Source organism: Homo sapiens, chromosome 6 (genome assembly GCF_000001405.40).
Source record: "Homo sapiens chromosome 6, GRCh38.p14 Primary Assembly".
NCBI classification, from domain to species: domain Eukaryota; kingdom Metazoa; phylum Chordata; class Mammalia; order Primates; family Hominidae; genus Homo; species Homo sapiens.
In genome coordinates, this window is record NC_000006.12 from 105,456,218 (window position 1) to 105,481,306 (window position 25,089).

The 25,089-nt window shown below is 37.9% G+C and overlaps 1 long non-coding RNA gene across 1 annotated transcript, besides 2 other annotated features; it reads left to right on the top strand.

Moving 5' to 3' along the window:
* Positions 1–412: 412 nt before the first annotated feature.
* Positions 413–25,089, top strand: LOC105377921 (uncharacterized). The gene is made up of 2 exons (XR_942832.3): positions 413–877; positions 22,478–25,089. It is a non-coding gene; the product is annotated as an uncharacterized LOC105377921 (long non-coding RNA).
* Positions 2,990–3,259: an enhancer, noted in NCBI's record as "active region_24870". NCBI's record gives its function as "activates an Ori minimal core promoter by ATAC-STARR-seq in GM12878 lymphoblastoid cells {active_cell/tissue: GM12878}" and the evidence as "EXISTENCE:reporter gene assay evidence [ECO:0000049][PMID:35858748]".
* Positions 3,270–3,329: an enhancer, noted in NCBI's record as "active region_24871". NCBI's record gives its function as "activates an Ori minimal core promoter by ATAC-STARR-seq in GM12878 lymphoblastoid cells {active_cell/tissue: GM12878}" and the evidence as "EXISTENCE:reporter gene assay evidence [ECO:0000049][PMID:35858748]".

A 25,089-nucleotide genomic window follows, 5' to 3' on the forward strand; every position in this document is an offset into this window, starting at 1 on the left:
GTTCAAGCCTGTCATAACCTTTTTTGGCCCAGGTTCCATCATCCAATGTATTTGCTATGCCTCCAAGGTTTGCATGCCAGTTGGCTTTTTGAAGGCAATTTCTTTTATTTTTATGCATCCAAATCTGGGTGAGAGAGGGGAAGGTAAGGCATACCTGGAGAAAACCCTATACTGGGAGATAAAAACTTCTCTCACTGTATAACACAGAGTACTTAAAAACATTCTAAAATGTTATTTAATGATTTTTTAAAAATCACATGTAGCAAGCTGAAACAATAGAACACAATCCCCATAACTGGTCTTCAGTAACATAGTGAAGATTTTGTATTTCAGCTAATTCTCAACTAGCAAAAGAGAAATAAGTGAACAGGAGAATTAATATTTTGTTGTTTTTCATCCACTTTCTCTCCAGTTTAGGGAGCATTGAGGTCAAGGATCTGCCTCACTATCCTTCCACCTTTGGCTCTGCTTGCAGTGGCTCTGGTTCTATCCATGCTTTTACTAAGCCTGCAAATTCTGTAAAGCAGGAAACTACAAAAACGTTACAAAAGGCTCTGTCAAAAGATTCTTCAAGTGATTAAGGATAGCACACTCTGCATAGGAAATGAAGCCCTCGGAGAGATTTGAAGAAGCCCTTGGAGAGATTTGAGATATCCCTAACGGAGAAAGAATTGACCTTCATTATCTCAGGAAGGCTTTTGACATAAAAGAGAAAGAGAAGAAACTGATTACTTAAAGAGGAGAGAGAGCTGTAAAGAGAACTACGAGGATGAGCATCAGGCTTAAAGTGGCTTAATTTATAAACGGATAATTTAAAAATAGAATTGGAACATTAAGCCTTAATATGACCTATACTCCTCGCAATCCAGAAGTGAAGGTCAGTATTTAACCAAACCTCAGAGGTTAAGGAACATACACACACACACATATATACATATATATACACATATAAATATATGTGTATAAAATGTGTGTGTATATATATATTTAGAATCAAGATAAAATATATCCTGATATTATAAAATACTTACTCTAATAAGAAAAATGGCTAAAAACTAATGACCCTGAACAATCAAGGTTGAGTTTTGTGCCTCTTAAATCAAGAAAAATAGTGATAAAAAAGAGTTTTGTGCCTCTTGATACATATACAAACATACATACGTGTGTGTGTGTGTGTGTGTGTGTGTGTGTGTGTACACTATAAATACTGCCTAAAATGTTTAGGTCTGATCTCTAATGTACTGATCTCTAATGTACAGAGGAGTAGTATGGGGTAGAAAGTAGGGCATGGTGTTTGGAACCAAATATCCGAGGTTTGAGTTTTTGTTTAGCTGCTTGCCGTTTTCCTTGACCAAAATTTTCTGAGTTTCAATTTTCCTATTTTTGAAACTGTCGTGATAATAGAAAAGTGACAACTTGCGGTGTTCTGTAAAGTCTAGGCAAATTATATACCATCAGTAAACATTTTATCACTAGTTTTATAGCTCTCATTCAAATGCTTCCACGATCCCACCAAGATTCATGAATATCATCATCCCTTCAATTATTTAGTAGATGATAAAATGAGCATTAAGAAAAATCCCTTTGCATGAGCCAAGAATTCCTGGCTGTGCTGTTTATGTTTATTCACTGATTTTTCAATAATTAGGAGAGCAGGAATAACAAAAACACCAATAAAAAGAACTCAGCTTAGTAAAAGTAAGGTAGCCAGAAAACCAATTTCAATGTGTATTTTTATACCTCAGAAAAACCAATTCGCTTTGTAAATGGTGTGTCGGGACCATCCCTAAGGGTCATTGTCCTAGACCAATGGTATTAACTATCAGTCTATGTTCAGAACTGGAAATAGAAATACCTCCAGGTATTTGAAGAAGAAAAGGATTTAACTCAGGGAAATAGGCCCTTTAAAAATTACTGGAAGAGCTGTAGGCACCACTGAAATTTTTGAGTTTAAGGACAAACTGCTAGTGCTTCTTCAGCAGCTTCTTCAACACCCACCCTCCTCTCCACAGCTTTGTCAGCAGAAAAAAAAAAAAAAAAGGAAAAAACCAAAACTACAGATCATCTCTACTAATGCCTGTAGACAAAAGGATAGATGATGAGAACTTGCAATGTGTTACAAGATCAAATGTTCAAGGTGTAAGGGATGAGCTCATGATAGTTGGGTTTTAGCTCCTGAGGCTGATAGGGCTGTTTTGTGTTCAGGTGATCAGGAAAAACAAACAGAGTCACTTTCTTCATTTATGAACCTGCAAACCAGAGACTCTAAGGTTTGATATAAACATTCTGCCTAGTCAGTATATAATGTTGACAAAGATGAAAAAAATGTTAAGCCAGAGATAAAACAAAAATATTTTTACCACTATAGAGAGAAACAAAGGAATAATCATTTAACCGCCATTTTCCCCTTACATTATAGGAATTTCCATACCAGCAATTTTGGTGGCCATTAAAGTGAAGTTGAGGGAACTGGATAGAAGAGAATTACCCTGACTTTACACTGGAAAGTACCCTTAGCATTGTTCTAGATGGTGACCTAGAGAGTGCCTGATTCATGCAGCTTTATGTGAGTTGAAATTGAAAGTTGGCTCTGAAATCACAAGTTTTACAAAATTCACTCAATGGAATCTTAAATGATAATAGCAAAAATTTCTCTGCATCTTTTGCATAGATGTTTCCTATAATTTTAGTGTCAAGACATATGTTCTAATAATGTTTCTTCACTGGTATCCTCTCCCCTGAAGTTTGACACTCTTGTACTTAGTTTTCCTCCTGGAGTCCCAGGCAAATAATTACTATTTTTTTTTTTTTTGGTTGGCAGACGTTATTTGAACTGCCATCCCTATTATGAGATTCAGGTGAGAACAGGCTTGGGCAGGGAGGGAAGCACATACGTGCATAAATGTGCCATATCGCCATGTTCTTGTTGCAAATCCTTTAAGTGACGGCAACGGAGCCAAGGACTGACTGGGAGGTCAGTCACACACCCTCACAATCTGGTGCACTGGCATCCGTTGTGCTCAGAGTGGTTTGTTTCTGACAGTTACGGCAGCTGGATCAACACTTATTTTTTCATAATGACTCAGATCTTCATGTTCTGTTGCTTTGGGGTAATACCTATGACAAATATTAGGATGTGATGGTGCTGGGCTAGGAAGAGTGGACGTGACAACGAGCACTCACTCTAGGACGTAGTATCTGAAGGCTTCAACTCTGAAAGTCTAGTGACTCAGCTACTCAAAATCCTACATGTCACATTTCTATAAACATCCAACATCTGCTCCTATAATATATATGAGGGGATGTCATAAAAGTTGGATTTTATGACAAAAGTTTTGTTGTCTAGAGAGTCTCTCTGATGAAACCGTGAGGCATAGTTGTGATCAGTTTTAAGAACAGATGGCATTTTTGTTGGTTGTTCACATCTGTTGAGACTTAATGATATGCTAGGCACCCCCCTATAGGTTTATGTAGGACAACTCTACGAGGTAGGCAGTATTATTATTATTATTACCATTTTATAATGGAAATGGACACACAGAAGGGTTAAGTAATTTGTCCAAGGTCAAACAGCTTCAACAGAATCATCTAAATCCCAGAAATTGGGATCAGGTTCCTCTGTGGGACTTCTGTTCATGTTACCTTCATCATTCTGGTCACTCAGCCTCAAAACGTTAGATCTTGGAGGGACCTGAGAAGTTATAGAGGAACACATTCATTGTAGGGATGAGGAAAACAAAGCTAAGAGAGCATTAAATATCTGTCCTGAGGATCTACAACTGGATTGTGGCAAAACCAAGACTAGCCAATGTTGTTTTTGTCTCTTACATCACACTCTGGCTTTTCTCTGCCCATTGTTCTTTATTGCTAATGAATCACCAGTCTTATTCACTTCCTTCTTAACTTTTCTGATCTCTGCCCCTTCCTTCCTATCCCCCAATTCAGGTTCTGGTTACTCTTTGCCTGGACAACTACAGCAGTCCTGTGGCTTCAGGACTGCCCATCTTTTTTTTTTTTTCCAAGTAGATTGAAATTGGAGCAAAAGTAATTAGTAATTATAAAATCACCTTTTAAGAAATGTTATATTTATTCCATTCAGTCATTTCTCAAATGTTGCCAAATTTCTCCTTTGTAATTGCTAATTGTTATTTTAAAAACGTCCACCTTAAACATTATTAGTGCTTAGCTCTCCCTTGTAATTAGATGCAATTATCAGAACATAGTTTATATTAACCTGGGTTTGTGTGTTGTGCTGTGTGAGCCATACTTCCTACTGACTTGTTCCTGTCCCCGATAAAAATTCCTTCCTTTATTTTCGCATAATCTTAAAATTTTTTTTAAAAAGAAAGCATGTTCATTATAGAAAAACCCAGTGCATATAAATAATTACAGAAGAAAAATCTCAAAACACTTAGACTCTTATTCATCCAAATCAAGGTTAACACATTGCTGTGTATTATTTCTCTTTTATGTGTAGATTTTTCTTTTTTAATGTGCAAATTTAGGAAAAGAACTAATATTCCTCTTTGTTAAAATGTGGATAATAATACCTCTATCACAAATTTCTTGGAAGAATAACATGAGAATATATATGAATGACATGGACAGGAGGCAGGGAAATACTGGGTAGAAGAGGGTGGTTCCTCGGCAAAGGCACCACCCTCAAGCCTGGAAACCTGTGGCCCTAAATGGGAATGGGCATTCCTGTTTTTGTGTCCAAATGTTGCCTTTTGGCCTGCCACACCCCCCCATCCTGTACCTATATAAACCCCAAACCCCAGGCTCCACAAGCAGAAGAGCAAAGGAGCAAAACAGTGGCAGAGTGGCACAGCAGAGAAGGAAAGAACAGAAAGAGCGTCTGAATGTCGAGAGGAGTTCGGCTGGGAACAGAGAGGAGATTGGTCACAGGACAGCCAAACTCCAGGGGAGGATTATCTTCCCACTCCATCCCCTTTCCAGCTCCCCATCCATCCCACTGAGAGCCACCCCCATCACTCAGTAAAATCCTCACATTCACCATTCTTCAAGTCCATGTGACCTGATTCTTTCTGGATGCTGGATAAGGAGTCGAGTACCAAGAGGGCAGAGGGCAGGGTGTAAAAGGCTGTCACCCTGACCCTCCGCTAAGCTGGTTTAACACTCAGCTGTCCGTGGATGGCAACTGCTAAAAGAATATTAATTGTAACACACCCTTAGATGCTACCATGGGGCCAGAGCCCAAAAACGCTTGCCCTGACTCCTGCACCTGCCCGTCTGCATGCTACCCCTCCCATAAGGCATTTCAGTGCATGGTGACCCGAGCAAATGAGCCACACCCTTATTGCAATTTCTCCAAGGGGATTGGGGAACTCTCCCATTCTATGAATATACTTGGCACGTAGAAATTGCCCAACATATGGTAGATATGAGCTGTTTTTATATTCAACTCTTCAAACTCCTGGAATTAGTTTTGATGTCAAGTTTGAAATAGGGATATGATTTCATTTTTCCCCCAGTGGTTAAGTAATTGCTTCACTTTTTCAAAATTAAAGTTTTAATTTAGAGATAACTGTAGATTCACATACGGTTGTAACAAATTATACAGTGAGATCCTGTGTACCCCTTACCTAGTTTCCCCCAGTGATAACATCTTGCAAAACTATAGAACGATGTGAACCAGGATGTTGACACTGGTACAGTTAAGATACAGAACATCTCTGCCCCACAAGGATCCCTCTTGTTTGCTGCCCTTTATAGTCACATCCAATTCCCTCCTGCCCCCACCCACCTTCTTAACCACTTGTAACCACTAATCTGTTCTACATTTCTATAATTTAGCCATTTCAAGAATATTATAGAAATGAATCATATAGTATATAACACTTTTGATTGTTTTTTTCTGCTTAGCATAATTATCTGGCGATTAATTCAACCTTTTGCTGTATCAACAATTCTTTCTTTTATAGATTAACTTAGAGAGAATAGGTCCATTTAGGAGAGGCCATAATGTCTCCATCAATTAGTCTTTTTAAAAGTCCCATGGAAATGTTTTGCTGTTTTCTTTATTGAGTTCTTATAAGTTTTTTAAAATTTTATTTTTATATAACATATACAAATAAATGTGTTATGGATCTACCCAACTTTTAAAATGCATGGGAAATATACTTGTTGAGCATGGTTCTCAAAAGGTCTTGGATTTAAAAAGTATCCTTTTCTCAGGTACTCTGAAAGAGTTACGTTTCAGGTACTCTGAAAGAGTTACGTTTACTGTTCCACTAGTGTTGGCTCATACTGGTTACCTATATTAAATTCCCATTTTGAGTTTCCTGATAGGCCCTGGAGTGAGACAGGGGGCATTGTGCTCTGTCTTCTTCCCATCTTGGCTTTATTTTGACTGAAGTTGAGTTACATGTTCTATTTAGTAAGAGGTAGAAATGAATGAATCTTGCTGAAAGAAAAAAAAATGTGAAGAACTAAACCCAAGGCATGACACATTTGGCTAACATCTCCTAAAGACACAATGCACTGTGGTGAGAGAAGTGTCATTTATGTTTCAGTCTCTAAATACTGTGTTTATTATAGGTTATGATTTGTGAGATTTATCTTTTTTTCTTTCAAAATCACTGTGAGTCTTTTTACTCCAAACACATAAATTAACTCTTTATGTTTCTGGCACTTGTTCACATAACCTGGTGACATATGGTCCTAACTATAGAATTTGTATTTTTATAAATACAGATATATAGAATAAAAATTACTAAGGTATAACTTATATACAGCAAAGCACAGTCATGGTAAATAATATTTTCACCACCTCCAGAAGTTCTTTTGTGTCCCTTCTCAGTCAATTTCCTCACCCACCCCTAGCTTCTGGCAATCACTGATTTGCTTTCTGTATTTATAAATTAGCTTTATTTTTTTTTTCTAGGGTTTTAAGTAAATAGAACCACACAGTATGTACTCTTTTGTGTCTGGTTTCTTTAGTGCAACCTTTTTTTTGAGGCAGGGTCTCACTCTGCCATTTGGGCTGGAGTACAGTGGCATTATCCTGGTTCAGCAGCCTCTGCCTCCTGGGCTCAAGCGATTGTCCCAACTCAGCCACCTGAGTAGCTTGGATGTGCCACCATGCCTGTCTAGTTTTTGTATTTTTTGTAGAGATGGGGTTTCCTTATGTTGCCCAGGCTGATCTTGAACTCCTGGGCTCAAGTGATCTTCCTGCCTCAGCCTCTCATGGTGCTAGGATTACAGGTGTGAGCCACCGTGCCTGGCATTGTTTTTGAGGTTTATCTGTGTTGTTGTGTGTATTGGTAGCTCTAGAATTTGTATTTTTATTAAGGCTACATCCATTCAATTAAGAAATATATTCTGAGTCTGGGCGTGGTGATTCACGCCTCTAATCCCAGCACTTTGGGGGGCCAGGGCCGGTGGATCACCTGAGGTCAGGAGTTTGAGATCAGCCTGGCCAAAATAGTGAAACCCCACTTCTACTAAAAATACAAAAAATTAGCTGGGTGTGGTGGTGCATGCTTGTAGCCTAGCTACTTTGGAGGCTGAGGCAGGAGAATCATTTGAACCCATGAGGTGGAGATTGCAGCGAGCCAAGATTGCACCACTGCACTCCAGCCTGGGTGACGGAGTGAGACTCTGTCCCTCTCCCCCCCATCCCCCCACCAAAAAAATATATATATATTCTGAGTACCTATTATGTGCTAGGCACTGTTCTTGATGATGGAACAACTGTGAATAAAAAGAGACAAATCCCTACTTTCATGGAGCTTGCATATTAGTGGAGACAGGAAGTAAGAGCTTCCTATATGTACACACAAATGGTATAATTGCTATAGCAATGGGCATTAGAGACTTCTTGGGAAACTTTAGAAAAAGTTATCTGGGAAAATTTTACTGGAAGTTCATTTTTGAGTATTGAAAGAGTTGAAGGAGAAGACATAAAGATATTTAGAAAAAGAGCATTCTAGGTGGAAGCAGGTACAAAAGCCCTAGTTCCTGCCAGGAGAGGCCAAGAAACCCAGAGTGGCTGGAGTGGAATGAGAGTGAGGTCAGAGAGGAAGGGTGGTGGTGAGGGGGTACAGACTTTCTAGTCCCTGTAAGCAGTGTAAGGGTTCTAACTTGAGTAAGTTGGGAGCCATTGGAGATTTTGAGCAGTGGAGTGACATGCCTGACTCACATTTTCAAATGGTCACTTTGATTGCTGTATTGAAAACAACTGTAGGGAAGTAGGAAGACCAGTGAGGAAGCTGTGGCAACAATCTATGCAAAGATGATGATGGCTTGGACAAAGGTAGCCATGGTGGAGGAGTGGCAAGTGGCCACCTTCTGAACACATTTAATACAGAGTGTCAACAGTAATTGCTGATTGACTAGATGTGTAGTATGAGGGAAAGAAAAGAGTCTAAGATGACTCCAAGGTTTGTGGCCTGAGCAACAGTACAGAACAGAGTTGAGCCCGGAAAAAAATGAGAGAAATAGGTTGTGGTGGAAGAGGGAAAACATTCACTTTAGACATGTTAAATTTGATATACCTATGATTGAGTAAGCAGTTATGAGTTTGTCCTTTAGAGATTAGAACTAGAAATATACCTTTGAAGTCAACAGCAGCATATAGATGATTTTTAAAGTTATGAGACTGGATAATATCTACAAGTATGTAGTAATGGATGAAAGAGGAGAGGTCCAAGGACCCAGGTCATGGGATGACCTTCTGATGTTGTGAAAATGAGGATGAACCAGTAAAGGGGACTACAAGCAGGGGCTGGTATAATGGAAATCATCCAAAAGGGCATGTGTCCTGGATACCAAATAAAGGAAGTGATTTAAATAAAAGGACGTGCGCAACTATGTCGAATGTTGCTGAAAGTTCAAATAAAATAGGGACTGAGAATTGGCTTTTGGGTTTATCAACAGGGAAGTCATTGGTGATTGTATGAAGAGCATTGGTGAAATGGTTAGGAGTAAAATACTTATCAGAGTGAATTTAGAGAAGAATAGGAGAAAAGAAATTGGAGACACTCTGGATAACCTTTTTGAGAGATTTTGCTATAAAGGAGAGTACTGACATGTGATTGATAGTGATTAGATGGGAAAGTGGGATGAAGAGAAGGATAGTTTTAAGATGGGAGATTTTTTTCCCCCTTATGGAATGACCCAGGAGAGAGAGAAAAAATGCTGAAGCAGAGATGAGAGAGGCTGAAGTGATAGAGAAGGAAATCTCATGCAAAAGTGGAGGGGTTGGCACAAAATAAGAACATGGAAAGTTTGCCTGTGGTAGTGGAAAGAAAAGCAGAGTTGATGGCCTCCAGTACAGGTAGATGAATAGATATGAAGGGAGCTTGTGAAAACCATCTTTTAATTGCTTCTATTTTAACAGTGAAAGAAGGAGCAAAAGTCGTAGGCTAACAGTGACGATGGAGAATAGGATATTGGCAGTTTGGAAGAGGTAAGGTAAAAAAACTGAGAAAAAGATGGCATAGGTAAATAACTGTATGAACTCAGGACATGTGGTATTATTATTCTATAGTACTAAGATTTTACTTGAAGTTTTGGTCATGATTTAAAGACCTGTCAACATGTGGTTTTCTCCAGCCTCATTCAGCTTTGGGAATGCACCTATGCCACATTTGCACACTTGCACAGAAGAGTTGTACTCAGTTAGAATTGAGGTGTTTCAGTTATCTATTGCTACATAACAAATCTCCAAATGCAGTCATTTAAAAACGACTACAGTTTATTGTTTCTTCCGAGTCTATGGTTTGACCTGTTGATCTTCTGCTTCACAAGGCGTGAGGCTGGGCTGCAGTGATATGGTGCACTTGACTGGGCTGAAATGTTCACAATAGCTCATTCACATGTCTTTCTGGATGGCTAGAAGTGGATATAATTCCTTTAAAAACTTTGTGAGTTCCTGTGTATCAAATTACAATCCATTCCATTAGACAGAAGCCTCCATAGCCAAACTCACCCTTCATTAGGGACCCTTTTTCCGATGATATAACAGTTTTTGCTAATTTTTTGGTCAGTACGTAACTTAGGTACCCCCTGTTTTCCAGCCTCCAAGAGCAATTTCTTCACTGCCCTTACTGTCTTCACTAATAGTCTTCCTGAAGCTTTTCCAGCTTCTATCTGGTCCCAAAGTCAATGTCACTGATTTTAGGTTTTTGTTATCTCAGCACTGCACTTGTAGGAACCAAGTTCTATCACATTTGTCTATTGCTATGTTACAAGGATCCTCAAAACTTAATAGCTTAAAGCAATAGCAATGTATTATTTCTCACAGTTATGGGGGCTGACCAAGCTGTTCTTTTGACTCATATCGTATCGGCTAGGGCTGCAACCATCTGGGCTTAACTGAGCTAGTGTCTTGGCAGAGACAGATGTAAGGTTGGGTTCAGCTAGGAACTGGGGATGACGACATCTCTTCTCCATTAAGGTCTCTTCATATAGTGTCTCTACATGGTCCTGCCAGCATGGTAGCTGAATTTCTACATGGTAGCTTACGGTTCACTGAAGTGCAAATACAGAAGCTGCCAGTCCTGGATGGGGCACAGTGTTACTTCCACTGCACTCTATTGGTTAAAGTGAGTCACAGGTCAACCAGATTCAATATGAAAGGGGGTCTACAAAAGGGAATGAATACTGGGAGGTGTGTTTCATTGGGAGCTATCTTTGAAGAACAGATACCACCTCAGATGAGGTGGGTAAAGTAGAAGGGGGCAAAGGAGCTGAGAAAATATGAAGAGAGTGATTTTCATGATGAAGCATGGAATTTAAGCTGAGTAAGGGACACTTTTAAAAAGTTGGGGGAGGGTCATTGTAAAGGTGATGGAATCACTGGGTCCTCATGGAGTTGAAAAGATTTTTATTGAGATAGGAGAGAGAGTGAACTGGAAAGTTAGGAAGAACATGGGAAGTAGGATGCTTAAAACTGGATCATGCCATGAGCAGGCGGCCGGGAGGTGGGGAGGACTGGGAAGATTTTGGTCAAAGGGTACACAATTTCTGTTAGACGGGAGGAATAAATTCAAGAGATGTATTGTATAACATGGTGACTATAGTTAAATACAATGTGTTATATATATACTTGAAAAGTGCTGAGAGATTTTAAGTGTTCTCATCACAAATGATAGGGATGTGAGGTAATGCATATGTTAATTAGGTTGATTTAGCCATTCTGTAATGTATAGGTATTTAAAAACATCATGTTGTACACTATAAACCTATACAATTTTTATTTGTAATTAAAAAATTAAAATAATCAAATTGAATAGTTTTTTTTCTTTGGGGAAAAAAAGATTATGGAGGAGTTGTAGGTATTGATGATGCCAAAGTCTAAGGCAGGGGAACATCCCTGGCATCCCTTCAAGAGTGTATAAAAATTACCAGTGCCTGGGCTTCTTTCCAGACCAATGAAATCAGAATCTCTGTGGTGGGTCTGAATTGTTTTTTTTGTTTTTTTTTTTTAGCTTGCCAGGTGATTCTAGCATCCATCTAGGGCTGAGGAACAGTTATCGTAAGTAAGTCATTTATGAAATGCCTACCACAGTGTGTGCCAAGCACTACCGTGAATCCTTTTTACATCCCCTCACTTTGTATTCACTAAGTTCTGTGAGATACAACTATTCTTATCTCCATTTCACAGATGAGGAAACTGAGGCTTAGGGAGATTAATCAGGTCCACCTGACATCAAAGCCATATTCTTAACCACTACTATTTTCTAATTTCTTTTTTCCAATAAATGTGTGGATTTTGGGGCAAATCAAGGATATTTTTACAAATTCTTAGAAATGCACTTAATGTCTGCTCCTTAAGCAAGCGTTTCTGCATATTGATCATATATTATTATTTCTTTAGACAGATTTTGAATTATGACCAGCTGATGTCACTTTATTATTAGTTCAAACCTCATGGTATCTGAACCCAATTAGACAGAAGGGATGCCATGGGCATCCTCACAGTCCACGGGCTGTTAGAGGAAATCTGAAAACAATATTTTGTACTTCTCTATCTACCCTTTACTCATTTAGAGTAATCCATGCAAGGCATTTTTAGAAAGTAAAATTTGGAGAGAATTTTAGATCAGAAAAGTGAAAACTGTCAGGTGCTTAGGTAAGAATTAAATTTGACGCGGATAGTCAAATAGCGGACTCTTTGGAGAGTATAGTCACTCAAATCACAAGCCAGAAGTGTCATTTGATATTAAAATTTTCACTTAGAAAGACCAAGTATCTAAACGTTTTGACAGACAAGGAAGGACATTTCATCTTACAAGTGTCCCTCTGGTAATCTATTGCATACCCTTTTTTACTATTAAGACTTGGCTCTAATTCTCCTCCCTCTAAGAAACTTTTCTGATATGCCATACTCCACCTTGGCTACCCCCTCATGTTCTGTCCATTCATATTTATGCCAAAAATTGTTCTGATGCCAGTTAATCTATAGTTTGTATGTTTCTCCAATGAAACTACAAACTTCTTGAGGTCAGAGACCCTATATCCTTCTTCTTTTTTTTTTTAACTTTCACGCTGCAATGCCCGATATGCTGGGCATGTGGTTGATACTTGACTAATAAATAAGTGTTGGATGAATGAACTATTACTCAACTGGGGACCTTAGAAATATTCCTACTGAAGGTAGCACCAGGAAAGAACAGCTGGATTTTCACGCATGTAACTTTATTTAGCCGTGGCAATAACTCTGTGACAGTGGTGTTATTAATATTACCACTCAATAGAAGAAGAAACTGAAGCTTTGAGAAATTAAATAGTTTACCCAAGTTTAAGTGGCTGGAATTATCATGACTCAAATTCAGAGTTGTTTGTTTTTGCTGTCTCTACCACTTTGAGCTACTGCAGTGTTAGGGGCTTTTCTTTTCTAGCACAGGTGATGGTAAACCAACTCAAACTAGCTTGGCCTTAAAGAGGATTGTTATTGGAAGAGTCATAGAATAACGGGAAGGTCTGCAGAAGCCAGGGTTGTTCTGAGAACATTGGTGATGGGAACTGAGAAGAGGCTGCCTGGGCTAGACCCGTCTCTGCTTGGCTCCTGTCTCTCCTCCTGAAGAGGGCTTTCCTCTCTGTGTATCGGGGGAGGGTGAGGGGAAAGAGGCATGATGATCACTAGGAGCCCCAGACTCAAATCCTTCTTCTTTCATGACTTAAAAGCTCCCAATGCATGTATTATCTCCTAAAACCTTATTTGTCAAACTGAACTTAATGTGCCTCACAGGAAATCTCTCTGGAGGAAGAAAAGCAAACCATTCAATGGTGTTAGAATACAGTGTCCTAAAGAGGCACAGTGCTGGCCTGGGTGATGAATGGCCAACCGGGTACCCTAAAGAGATGAAGGCTGACGTGTATCACATCCTCCCTGCTTTCATCCCACACTGCTCGCACCTATGGCCAGATCTCTGTGTCCACCCAAATCATCATTTTGCTGTTCTTAATACATACGTTTGTAGAAGGTACACACACAATGTTTAAAAAAGGATCTAATTTGGTGTTAACAGACAACCAGGTTCTTAATGCCTTAAGGATAACAATGATTATATTTTTCTCCTTACATTGGCCCTTTTCTCTTAAACTGATTAAATCAGTTGCTAGTACTAGGGAAAAAAATGACTGAATTGACATTATCACCGTGCCAGGATTTCCTATGCGTTTTGAGGCAGTATAATGTGCACCGGTTTTCTATTTTTTCTTTTCTCTCTCTCTCTCTTTTTTTTTTTTTTGCCAACGATCTCCTTGTTTAAACAAAAATTTATCCAGTCTCCCAACATGTGAAACAGATAAAAACTGAGGGAACTTGGAAAGGGGTCCAGTGTCCCTGTCTTCCTTTTCTGCGATGCTTCTTTTAGGTAGACTCAGAGGAGGCTTCTCAGGATAGACTTTGAACACCCTGGTGGAGTGGGAGGACCCTGCATTAGAAGCCAGAAGGCTCGTGTTGAAGATCTGGTTCTGCTAGTAATTACTTGTGCAACCTTTAGCAAGACATTTAACCTCTGTCTTTTTCCAGTGATAAAATTATACTTGCCCTTTCCAACTTGCAGGTTGTTGTGTGGACTAAATGACATAATAGATATAAAAGTGCTTTAAAAATGGCAAAAAATTAGTTTAACCATGGAAAATCCTTCATTGCATTTATATGTCAATACATATTTGTTGATGTTGACTGAACTTTGCAACCTAGGTAACAAAAATAACTAAGGATGTTCCACTTTTAAACATTTTGTGGTTCTAATAGCACTGAGGTAGAATACACATTAAAGTATTGAAATGGAATATATTTTTTGTGTATATAAGTAGGACAATGTCAGTTTTACCAATCATCCAAAGTTAGAAAGGTGATCAATCATTAGTTAGGTGCTTGGTCCTGAGAAAAGTCTACGGAAGAGAAGGAAAAAAGTTTAGAGTATAAAGGTAATTTTTATGAGCAGCAATGATAAATTCCATGAACTCCTGGGATAAGATCATCTGAATTAATTGGCATCACCATCAATCAAAGGCTGTTGATTGCTCTAGTAAAAGGGTGTAAATCCCATGAAATGAAAGTGGGGCTGAAAAATATCAATCTATTTTAGCCTGCTGTTAAGAAAGGAAATGGGTAGCGCTGTTCAAATGTTGTATTTCCACTTGCTAAATTCAACAATTAGAACCACACTTTCATGAATTAACCTGTTAAGTGAATAAATCTTCTCTTCAACAGTTTCATGTCATTGGTTCAAATGGTGTAATGTTTCTCACATAAAGAACTTAAGAAGAATAAATCCATTAGGGAAATCGGTGGAATTTATTGTACTCTAAGGCCGTGCATTTAAACAGACCTCAACTGTACAAGAACACATAATGGCCTTGTGTTTGAGGACTGTCAATTCTAGATCTGCAACAAGCATTATAAGAAACCAACAAACGGTGCGTGTATTTATTCCACCTCTCTTCACACTGGGCACTGTGCTTCTTTGTGTGTGTATCTTACCAAATGCTGAGTAGCTTGTTCCCAGGAGATTAGTGGAGAAGACTCTGTTCCCCAGGTGAACCATTTCTATTTAATTTTTATTTATATTTCCAGTGAAATCTGTACTTTCCTCATTTCTACAACTGTGGAAAAAATAAAATCTGTAAGCTGACCCAAAATTTCTGTTGGCCACATCAGAAACTTCCGAAAACACCATTTACAAGTTATATCATTTCCCTCAAATGAGCCAATTTTTTTCTCCTTTTACTCTAGGGGTTAAAAAGAAAGCCCCTCTACCTTTGCCATAAATATCAACAGGTCAGGGGAAAGCTGTTTATTTTTCTCCTGAAGCACATTAATGCTACCAACCAACAACAGCAGCCTTTAAAACTCAGAATGCAAGACTAGAAGGAGCCAGCCACAACTCCCCCGGAGTAATGGCAAACACTTTTTCACCTCAGGCTATTCGTGAGAAAGGATTTTCTTTTTTTCTTTTAGGGCCTCTTTTCCTATTCACTGATATTCACCCCTAACCCCACATCAGGGAGAATGAAAAGGTTCAGGGATACTTTAAAGTTGGGCTATTGGAAAGTTAAAAGCCTTAAATTGTAGAATAAACATTGACTACTTCGAGCTCATGTTTTTCACCACAAACTAGGTGAAGATGTATTTTCTCACAGATCCCTTGATTAGGAAATTTTAAAAACAATTCAAATATATAAATAAAATACATAAATTAAAAATTTTTTTCATGAATGTTCTGGAATATTCAGGCTAGAAAACTTTGTGCCCGTTGCCAGAAAGTCCTAGCTTTTACACAGCGGTTAATGCTTATCTCCAGGGAACAACTGACTTCATAAGTTCTTTAGACATCTCGACAATCAGGAGTGCTAAGTTTCTTAAAGGTAAGCCTCACATTGTGGATTACGGTGGTAGACAAGTAAGACAAGCAAAACCAAACTGAACACATGTTGATCATTTCAGCAATGCAAGTTCTATTATGGTTGGAAGGGCAATGCTTTCCGTAGCTGCTTGATCTTTATGAATCCATTTGCTTCTTTACTATCCCAGTAACTATAACTATTCTTGTTGCCTTCCTTTTTTTTCGAACAATCTTGAATTCTTTTCTCTACCTTGAGTTCCTTGGGTTGTGTTTTTCATCAATTCCAGTACTGACAATAGTTCTTTATTAAAATTCTGAAAGGTATTCAGAGAACTCACTGACTATTAAAACCAGGAAGCTGCTAAAATTCAGAGCAATCAGAGAAGAGACATGATCTTTCCAAGGATATAGAACTAATTTTTGCCAGGTTGTTGGAAAAGCCCAGATTTCTGGACTATGACAATCACCTGCTTTTTCCATCACACCAATCCCATCTATAAGTTAGTTGTGAGTGTACACCTGCAATCTTTTTCTATAAACAAAGGCTTTCCTCCCATACTTAATTCTCCACTCTGCACTGCTATTCCACTCAGAGTTAGGGACCATAAATCATTCATCTTTCACACTGAGCATCTCCTATAGTGCCTAACACGCAGTGGATGCTCAATAGCATTGTACACCACCTCCATTTACTATTGAATACTTCTCTAATCTGCTCATGAATAGGTCTTCTGAACTTGATTACAAACTCCCCAAAGGCATAGATTATACCCTGTTATTTCCAAGATATAACAACAGTTCTAGTAGTGTTTAGTACATGTAGGCTATTTTTTTAGAAGTTGAAAGTAGAGAACAATGTCATAGAATGACATCAACCCAATTTTCTGAAGTACTGTGGTAGGCTGAATAATGGTATCCCAAAGATGTCCATGTCCCAATCCCTGGAACCTGTGAATGTTACTTGTATGGCAAAAGGGACTTTGCAGATGTGATTAATTTAAGGATCTTGAGATGGGAAGATTACTCTGGATTATCCAGGTGGGCCCACTGTTATCATAACAGTTCCTATAAGAGGATGCGGGAGGAGTCAAATCAGAGAAGGTGATGTGATCCTGGAAGGAGAGATAAGAGTGATGTGCTTTAAAGATGGAGGAAGGGGCCACAAGCCAAGCAATACAGGTGGTCACTAGAAGCTGAAAAAGGCAAGGAAACAGATTTTCCCCTCAGAGCCTCCAGAAGGTACCAGCTCTGCTGACATCTTGAGTTTAACCTAGTAAAATGATATTGGACCTCTGACTTCAGAATAAATTTACATTGTCTTAACCAACTGAGTTCGTGGTACTTTGTTACAGCAGAATTACAGGAGAATGATGGAAGTACCATGAAGGCTTTTTTTTTTTTTTTTTTTTTTTTTTGACAGAGTCTCACTCTGTCGTCCAGGTTGGAGTGCAGTGGCATGATCTCAGCTCACTGCAACCTCTGTCTCCCTCAAGCAATTCTCATGCCTCAGCCTCCTGAGTAGCTGGCACTACAGGCCTGTGCTACCATGTGCAGCTACTTTTTGTATTTTTAGTAGAGACAGGGTTTCACCATGTTGGCCAGGCTGGTTTTGAACTCCTGACCTCAAGTGATCTGCCCGCCTTGGCCTCCCAAGTGCTGAGATTTCAGGTGTGAGCCACTGCACCCGGTCCATAAAGGCAATTTTTGCAAACTGAAAAAGTAAAATACACAACCACATATACGATAAAAACATTGAATAACAGAATGGACAGGACTTTGAAAAATTATCTTTCTAGTCACCTGACCTGAGACAAAGGACAGTTTGTAGGAGAAATAGTTTGTCCATTCTCTTTTTAAACACTTCTAGGAACAATGATACCATTTTATTTTGTTTTGTTTCATTCTTTTAGGTTGGCAGAAGATAAAATTCTGCTTGCCTTTCATTCACTTAAAACATATATAATTTATTTTTTGGTTTTTGCCCAAAGGGGAGAAAAAGCTGAGCTGTGTGGTTGGTAGGCAGGCAACTTCACCTGCAATCTTTCCAATATAGATTTGTATCTGGAGATACCAGTAGTGGCAATCAAGCAAAACAATCCAATAAACAGACGGTTTTGGAGACAAAATATCTAGTTTTCTTGAAGCCAATTCACTTCTGCTGTGGTCTTGCCTTGACCTCACTTCTACTTTTTAAATCCCACGATTTGTGTGTGTGTGTGTGTGTGTTATTCATCTGAACTAAGCTCACCCTTGGCTTATGAAACATGTGAATTGGAAAGCTGTTCTCAAAATGAGCTCTCTCCTGGAGGATTTCCCAAAGCTCAGACTGCTTTAATTACATAACCAAGAAGTTTTCAATGAACTGTTTTGAACCTGGCATTCACAATACACTTGCCTTGTACTGAGCGATAGCTTTATGACAGGAAGCTTTGTTAGCTGGACCACCCGGGGAATGCAGCTTGAATAGAATATGGCCGCCTGTAGACTCAGGAATGTGGGCTTCTCTGGACACGCCACACCTGTGTTCCCTTAGCTGCCCCCAGCTCCTGCTTATTTCCCATGTAATTCAAGGTGTTGAACTTAATCCATAGAGTTATGCATCAATAGCCTCATTTATGGGTCCCTCTCTGGCCCTGGCTATGCTAGAAATCTCTTCCCAGGCAGTCTGAAGGTGCTGGAAGGTGTGCGGATTATGCCTTCAAATGATACCTGAGACATGATGGAACTGTGTTTATGCAACAGCCCCCAAATTGTTTGAGAGTGAAACCTTTAGGATTCCCCAAATTGCCCATTTCAGTTTTGACTGAATTTACCACCTTCACAATCAAAAGCAAAATAAAAAAGCATTATTTAGGTTAAGAGACCAACCTGATTTAAACACAATTTTTCTATCTGACAGAGATTCCTGTAATTTCTATCTGTTTGGTTTGTGTTTCAAACAAATTGACAGAGCTTGCCTCACCACATTGCATTTCTTCTTCTGGCAAGGCATCATAAAAAAAAAAAATCATTCCGCCATCATCTGGCTTCCACTGATGCTGCTTTTCCCCCCCATTCTTTTTACTGTGGTAAAATATACATAACAAAAAAATCATTTTAACCATTTTAAATGCACAGTTCAGTGGCATTTTGTACATTCTCATTGTTGTGCCACCATCACCACCATCCACCTCCAGAAATTTTTCATCTTCCTATACTGAATCTCTGTCCCCATTAAAAACTAACTCCCCATTCCCCTTCCCTGGTCCCTGAACCCACCGTTCCACTTTCTGTCTCTATGAATTTAACTACTCTAGGTACTTCATATAGTTGGAATTATACAGGATTCATTATTTTGTGACTGGCTTATTTTGATGTTGCTATTTTTTTAAAAAAAAAAGTTTATTTTTATTTTGAATTGGCAAATAATAATTGCATATATGTAGGGGGTATGTGATATTTCAATACATGTATACATTGTATAATGGTCAGATTAGGCTAATTAACATATCCATCACCTCCCATGCTTATCATTTCTTTGTGGTAGGAGCATTTAAAATGCACTTTTTCTTTTAGCAATTTTGAAAAGTACAATAAATCATTATTAACTATAGTCACTGTGCTGTACAATAGATGAACAGAACTTATTCCTCCTAATTGAAACTTGGTACCCTTTGACCAACAACTCCCTTTTCCCTGTCTACCACTCCTTTCAGTCAGCCTCTGGTAACCTCCATTCTACTCTCTGCTGTGAGTCCAACTTTTTTAGATTCTACATACAGGTGAGATCATGTGGTATTTGTCTTTCCATGCTTGGCTCATTTCACTTAGTATAAAGTCCTCTGCATTCACCCATGTTTTTGCAAATGACAGAATTTCCTTCTTTTAATGGCTAAATGGTATTCCATTGTGTATATATACCACATTTAAAAAATCAATTTATCCATCGATGGGCACTTTGATTAGTTTCATATCTTGGCATAGGAGTGCAGATATCTCTTTGATTTCAAGTCCTTTGGATACATACTTAGAAATGGGATTGCTGAATCATATAGTAATTTTATTTTTAGGTTTTTGAGGAATCTCCTTACCATAACCCAAAATGGCTGTACTAATTTACACTGCCATCAGCAGTGTACAAGGGTTCCCTTGTCTCCACACTATTTTCGACACTTGTTATCTTTCATCTTTTTAATAATAGCCATCCTAACAGATATGAGGTGATGTCTCATTGCGGTTTCAATTTGCATTCCCCTGATGATTAGTGATGTTGAGCATTTTTTCATATACCTGTTGGCCATTTGTATGTCTTCTTTCTGAGAAATGTCTATTCAGGTCCTTTGTCCCCTTTTAATAGGGTTGTTTTCTTGCTATTGTTTGAGTTTCTTACATATTTTGGATATCAACCCCTTATCTTGTATATAATTTGAAAATATTTTCCCCCAGTTTGTGGGTGGTCTGTTCACTCTATTAATTCTTTCCTTTGTTGTGCAGAATCCTTCCAGTTTGATGCAGTCCTGTTTGTCTATTTTTGCTTTTGTTGCCTGTGCTTTTGGGATCATATCCAAGAAACCACTGCTCAGACCAATGTCATGAAGATGTCCCCCTATGTTTTCTTCTAGTAGTTTTACAGTTTCAGGTCTTACATTTAAATCTTTAATCCATTTTGAGTTGATTCTTGTATAAGGGGTGAGATAAAGGTTCAAGTTCATTATTCTCCATGTAGCTAGCCAGTTTGTCTGACACCATTTATTGAAGAGACTGTCCTTTCCCCATTGTGTGTTCTTGGCGCCTGTGTAGAAAATCAATTGAGCTTGGGTGTGGGGGGTTATTTCTGGGCTATCCTTTTCCATTGGTCCATGCGTTTGTTTTCATGCCAGTACCATGTTGTTTTGATTACTATAGCTTTGTAATATATTTTGGAATTAAGTAGTATGTTGCCTCCAGCTTTGTTCTTTTTGCTCAAGATTTATTTTGCTATTCTAGCTCTTTTGTGATATTTATTTTATGACTGCTTTTTCTATTTCTGTGAAGTGACATTGGAATTTTGATAAGAATGTCATTGAATCTGTATATTTGGGTAGTATGGACATTTTAACAATATTTCTTCCAATCCATGAACATGGGATATCTTTCCATTTATTTTTGTCATCTTCCATTTTTTCCCTCAATGTTTTATAGTTTTCAGTATGTATATCTTTTACCTCCTTGGTTATCCTAAGTATTTTTTTTTCAACTTTTATTTCATGTTCATGGGGTACATGTATAGGTTTGTAAATTTACCCAGAGACATGGGTAAATTACATGTCACTGAGGTTTGGTGTGTCTCATTTTGGATGTGATTTTAAATGGAATTGTTTTCTTAGCTTCTTTTTCAGATAGTTCGTTATTAGTATATATAATTACTGATTTTTGTGTGTTGATTTTGTATCTTGCAATTTCATTGAATTTATCAGTTCTAACAGTTTTTTGGTGGCTTCTTTAGGGTTTTCTATATATAAGATCATGTGGTCAGAGACAATTTCACTTCTTCCTTTCCTATTTGAGAGTTTTTCCATTTTTTTTTTTTTTAAAGGCTAGGTCTCACTCTGTTGCCCAGGCTGGAGTGCAGTAGTGTGAACACAGCTCATTGCAGCCTCAACCTTCTGGGCTCAGGTGATCTGAAAGGTGTCACTTTTTATTATTTAAAATTCACTTCTCTTTTAATTTTGTGGTTGGATCCTAAGAGTAGAGCACGTGAGCCAGATTTAAATTGTATTCCTTTGGTCACAGTGATTGGCTCAGGGGTGAACTTATGGTGTAAGAAGAACCAATCAGAGGAAAATTTGGACTGTCTCTGGGAAAGTGGAATCTCAAACTGGAGAACAAAAACATTAGGCTCCTTGGGACATGGTTCGAATCCTGAATCAAGTCTTACCTGGTCTGTTTACTTACATAAGACAATACATTCTCTTTTTTTGATTTAGCTCTTTGGAGTTCAGTTTTTGTTATTTGCAACTGAAAGAATATTAATTATTATAATACTAAAACTTCAGATGTAGTTCAAACTCAATAATTTAATGATGTTTATGAAAATGGTACTTGTATTGGTACTACTAAGTCCTTGAATGTAAATACTTCTAGGACTCTCTCAGAAATCAGGAAGGTAGACTCCTGCTATTGCCAGCATACTGAAAAATATAAAACCCATTTATTTGTTGCTGAAGACGTTTTCTTTGTTTGTGTGTAAATACCTAGTCTTTTCATTCTACTAATTTATTAAGTTGGAGCATATAAACTTACCATTTTATAGGTAAAAAATGGTTGGAATTTTCCATAATTTTATATTATGGAATTCAACTTTATATTATTTACTTTTTAAAGGAAATTTCATAGTTTTAATTTTCAACTTTCAGGTTCTCCTTCCTGCCATAATATTTATAAATGATTTCTATTTTTTTCTGTATTGCAACAAGACCCTCTCTTGTCTGGGACAGAAAAAAATAAGCAACAAGTTAGTTGTTTGACACTCCCCTTCACCAAAAAATGAAAAAAAGATATGTTGAAGTGTTAATCCTTAGTACATCAGAAAGTAGTCTTCTTTAGAAACAGAGTCTTTACAGAGGTAATCAAGTTACAAAGAGATTATTAGGATGAACCTTAATCTAATCTTACTGGTGTCCTTGTGAAAGGGAGAAATGTGGACATGAGAGGGGCACAGAGGAAGACTACCTGAAGACACACAGAGAGAAGGTGACCACGTGGTTGGAGTGGAGCATCTACAAACCAACACACATACCAAGGATTGCTGGCAAGTATCACCAGAAGCTAGAAGAGGCAAGAAAGGATTCTCCCCAAAGCTGTCAGCAAAAACACAGCACTGATGGTACCTTGATTTCAGACTTTTAGCCCCGAAACTGTGAGAGAGTAAATTTCTGTTGTTTTAGGTGACCTGTTTTTTGGAATTTGTTATGTCAACTGTAGGAAATGGATATTGTACAACGATTGGGGCATGACTTTGCAATGGTTTACCTGCTCTCAGATGAAAATTTTTTTTTTTTGTTTTTTTTTTAGATGGAGTCTTGCTCTGTTGCCCAGGCCAGAGTGTAGTGGTGCCATCTTGGCTCACTGCAACCTCTACCTCCCGGGTTCAAGCGATTCTCCTGCCTCAGCCTCCCGAGTAGCTGGGACCACAGCACACCACCAGGCCTGGTGAATTTTTGTATTTTTAGTAGAGAAAGGGTTTCACCATGTTGGCCAGGCTGGTCTCAAACTCCTGACCTCAAGTGATCTGCTCGCCTCAGCTTCCCAAAGTGCTGGGATTACAGGTGTGGGCCACCACACCCTGTCTCAGATGAAAGGTTAATATAATTAAGGAACATCTTTTTTGTTTTTTTTTTCAGAAATTGGAATGGGGGAGTAGCTGAACAGAAAAGTCCATCTTGTTCAATTCCCACAAGAACATTTCTTTGCAATATTATTGGCAGGAATATGCAGTAAAGTTCTAATAACTATTTACTCCTTTCTTTGAAACTCTATTCAGTTATAATGTGTCCTGTAAAAAGTATGACACTGATTTCATAGTACCAATTTTAGCCTAATACATATTTAAATGATTCCCAATGTATAAAGATATTTTAGTAATAAGAAATTATTTAAGGATCCCAAACATCACAATAAACATAAAGCCTAGTTTTAGGTTGCAAAAAAGTATCAAACTTTATAAGTTTTAGTGCAAATTAAGAGAAATTACATTCTAACTACACTAATAACTGAAAACTTCATATTAGGCAAATAATGTCTTCAACTACTCAAATTATAGGAGCCCACTTCAAGAACCTCAGTAAGAAGAAATTTTGAATGGTTTAAAAATAATAAATGCCATGACATTTTAAATGGAAATTTGGCATATTTTTGAGATAAATATGATTGGATACATGTGTGTGCCATTCTTTTATCTCTTCTTACTTTTACTGTATCTCTACTTTAATGATGACAATAATATGGCTACAGACATGAAATGGTTTATCTTTCTTCTTTTCTTTCACTCTTTCATTTAAAGCATTTATATTATTTTTTATTGATGTCAATGTTAACATTTTGGCATCCTTCCCAAGTATATTGCAAGAAATACATCAATAAAAACTTAAATTTAAAAAATATGTAGTCTGGGGCCAGATAATAATGGCATATTTCTTTAAAATTAGGTATAAAGGAGTACAGACGAGGTCAAAATTCTAAAATTGGAATCTTGCCATTAACAAACAGAACTGACATTCTGATACTTCTATCTGCTGTGGACGTGACACAGAGACTTACCAAAGCCAAGATACATTTATTCAAGGAGGAGCAACTTGCCTTTATACTTATACCTTTGTTAATAACTTGTTTAAAGCAATCCTTTGTTTTCTTTGCATATTTGAATTGATTTGCTAAAAGTTATCTACTGTTAAATAAGCAAAACTCAAAATTTTCAAGCATATGGGACTTGTTCAGAATCAGTTTTTAGTTTCTTTTTCAGGATTTTGTACAAGTTGCAAGAGAAGAGACACAAAATTATCTTATTAATTCTATTGCAATATGGAGATACATTTTAAACAAATGGAAATAATCAATATTAGTATTATCTGTATATTTGTGTGTGTGTGTGTTGATCTGACTATATTTTTCTTCAAAGGGAAATCACAAAGGCCAAGTGTGTTTATCAGGTAACTCACCTTAAGAAAACTTGTACTATGTGAAAAGTCAATTTCTTTAAAAACTGTCACCAACTCAACCCTGGTTTGTAAGTAGAAAAAACTATCAATTATTTTTTAACAATAGTAATACTCCCAAGGTATATACTTCTGCCACAAAAAATTAAGAATAGTTTACTTAGCACGTTTTGTCATTGTGGAAATCATTGAGAAAAATCACAGTGGAAAGTTATTTGAAAAGGCATAACTGTCATTAGAAAGAAATTAAGAATAAAGAAGGCAGGCCTGGCGTGGTGGCTCATGCCTGTAATCCCAGCACTTTGGGAGGCTGAGGTGGGTGGATCTCCTGAGGTCGGGAGTTCAAGACCAGCCTGACTAACATGGAGAAACCCCATCTCTACTAAAAATACAAAATTAGCCGGGGTGGTGGCACATGCCTGTAATCCCAGCTACTCGGGAGGCTGAGGCAGGAGAATTGCTTGAACCCAGGAGATGGAGGTTGCGGTGAGCTGAGATGGTGCCATTGCACTCCAGCCTGGGCAAAAAGAGTGAAACTCCACCTAAAAAAAAAATAAAAATAATAAAAAAATAAAGCAGTAAAAACAAAA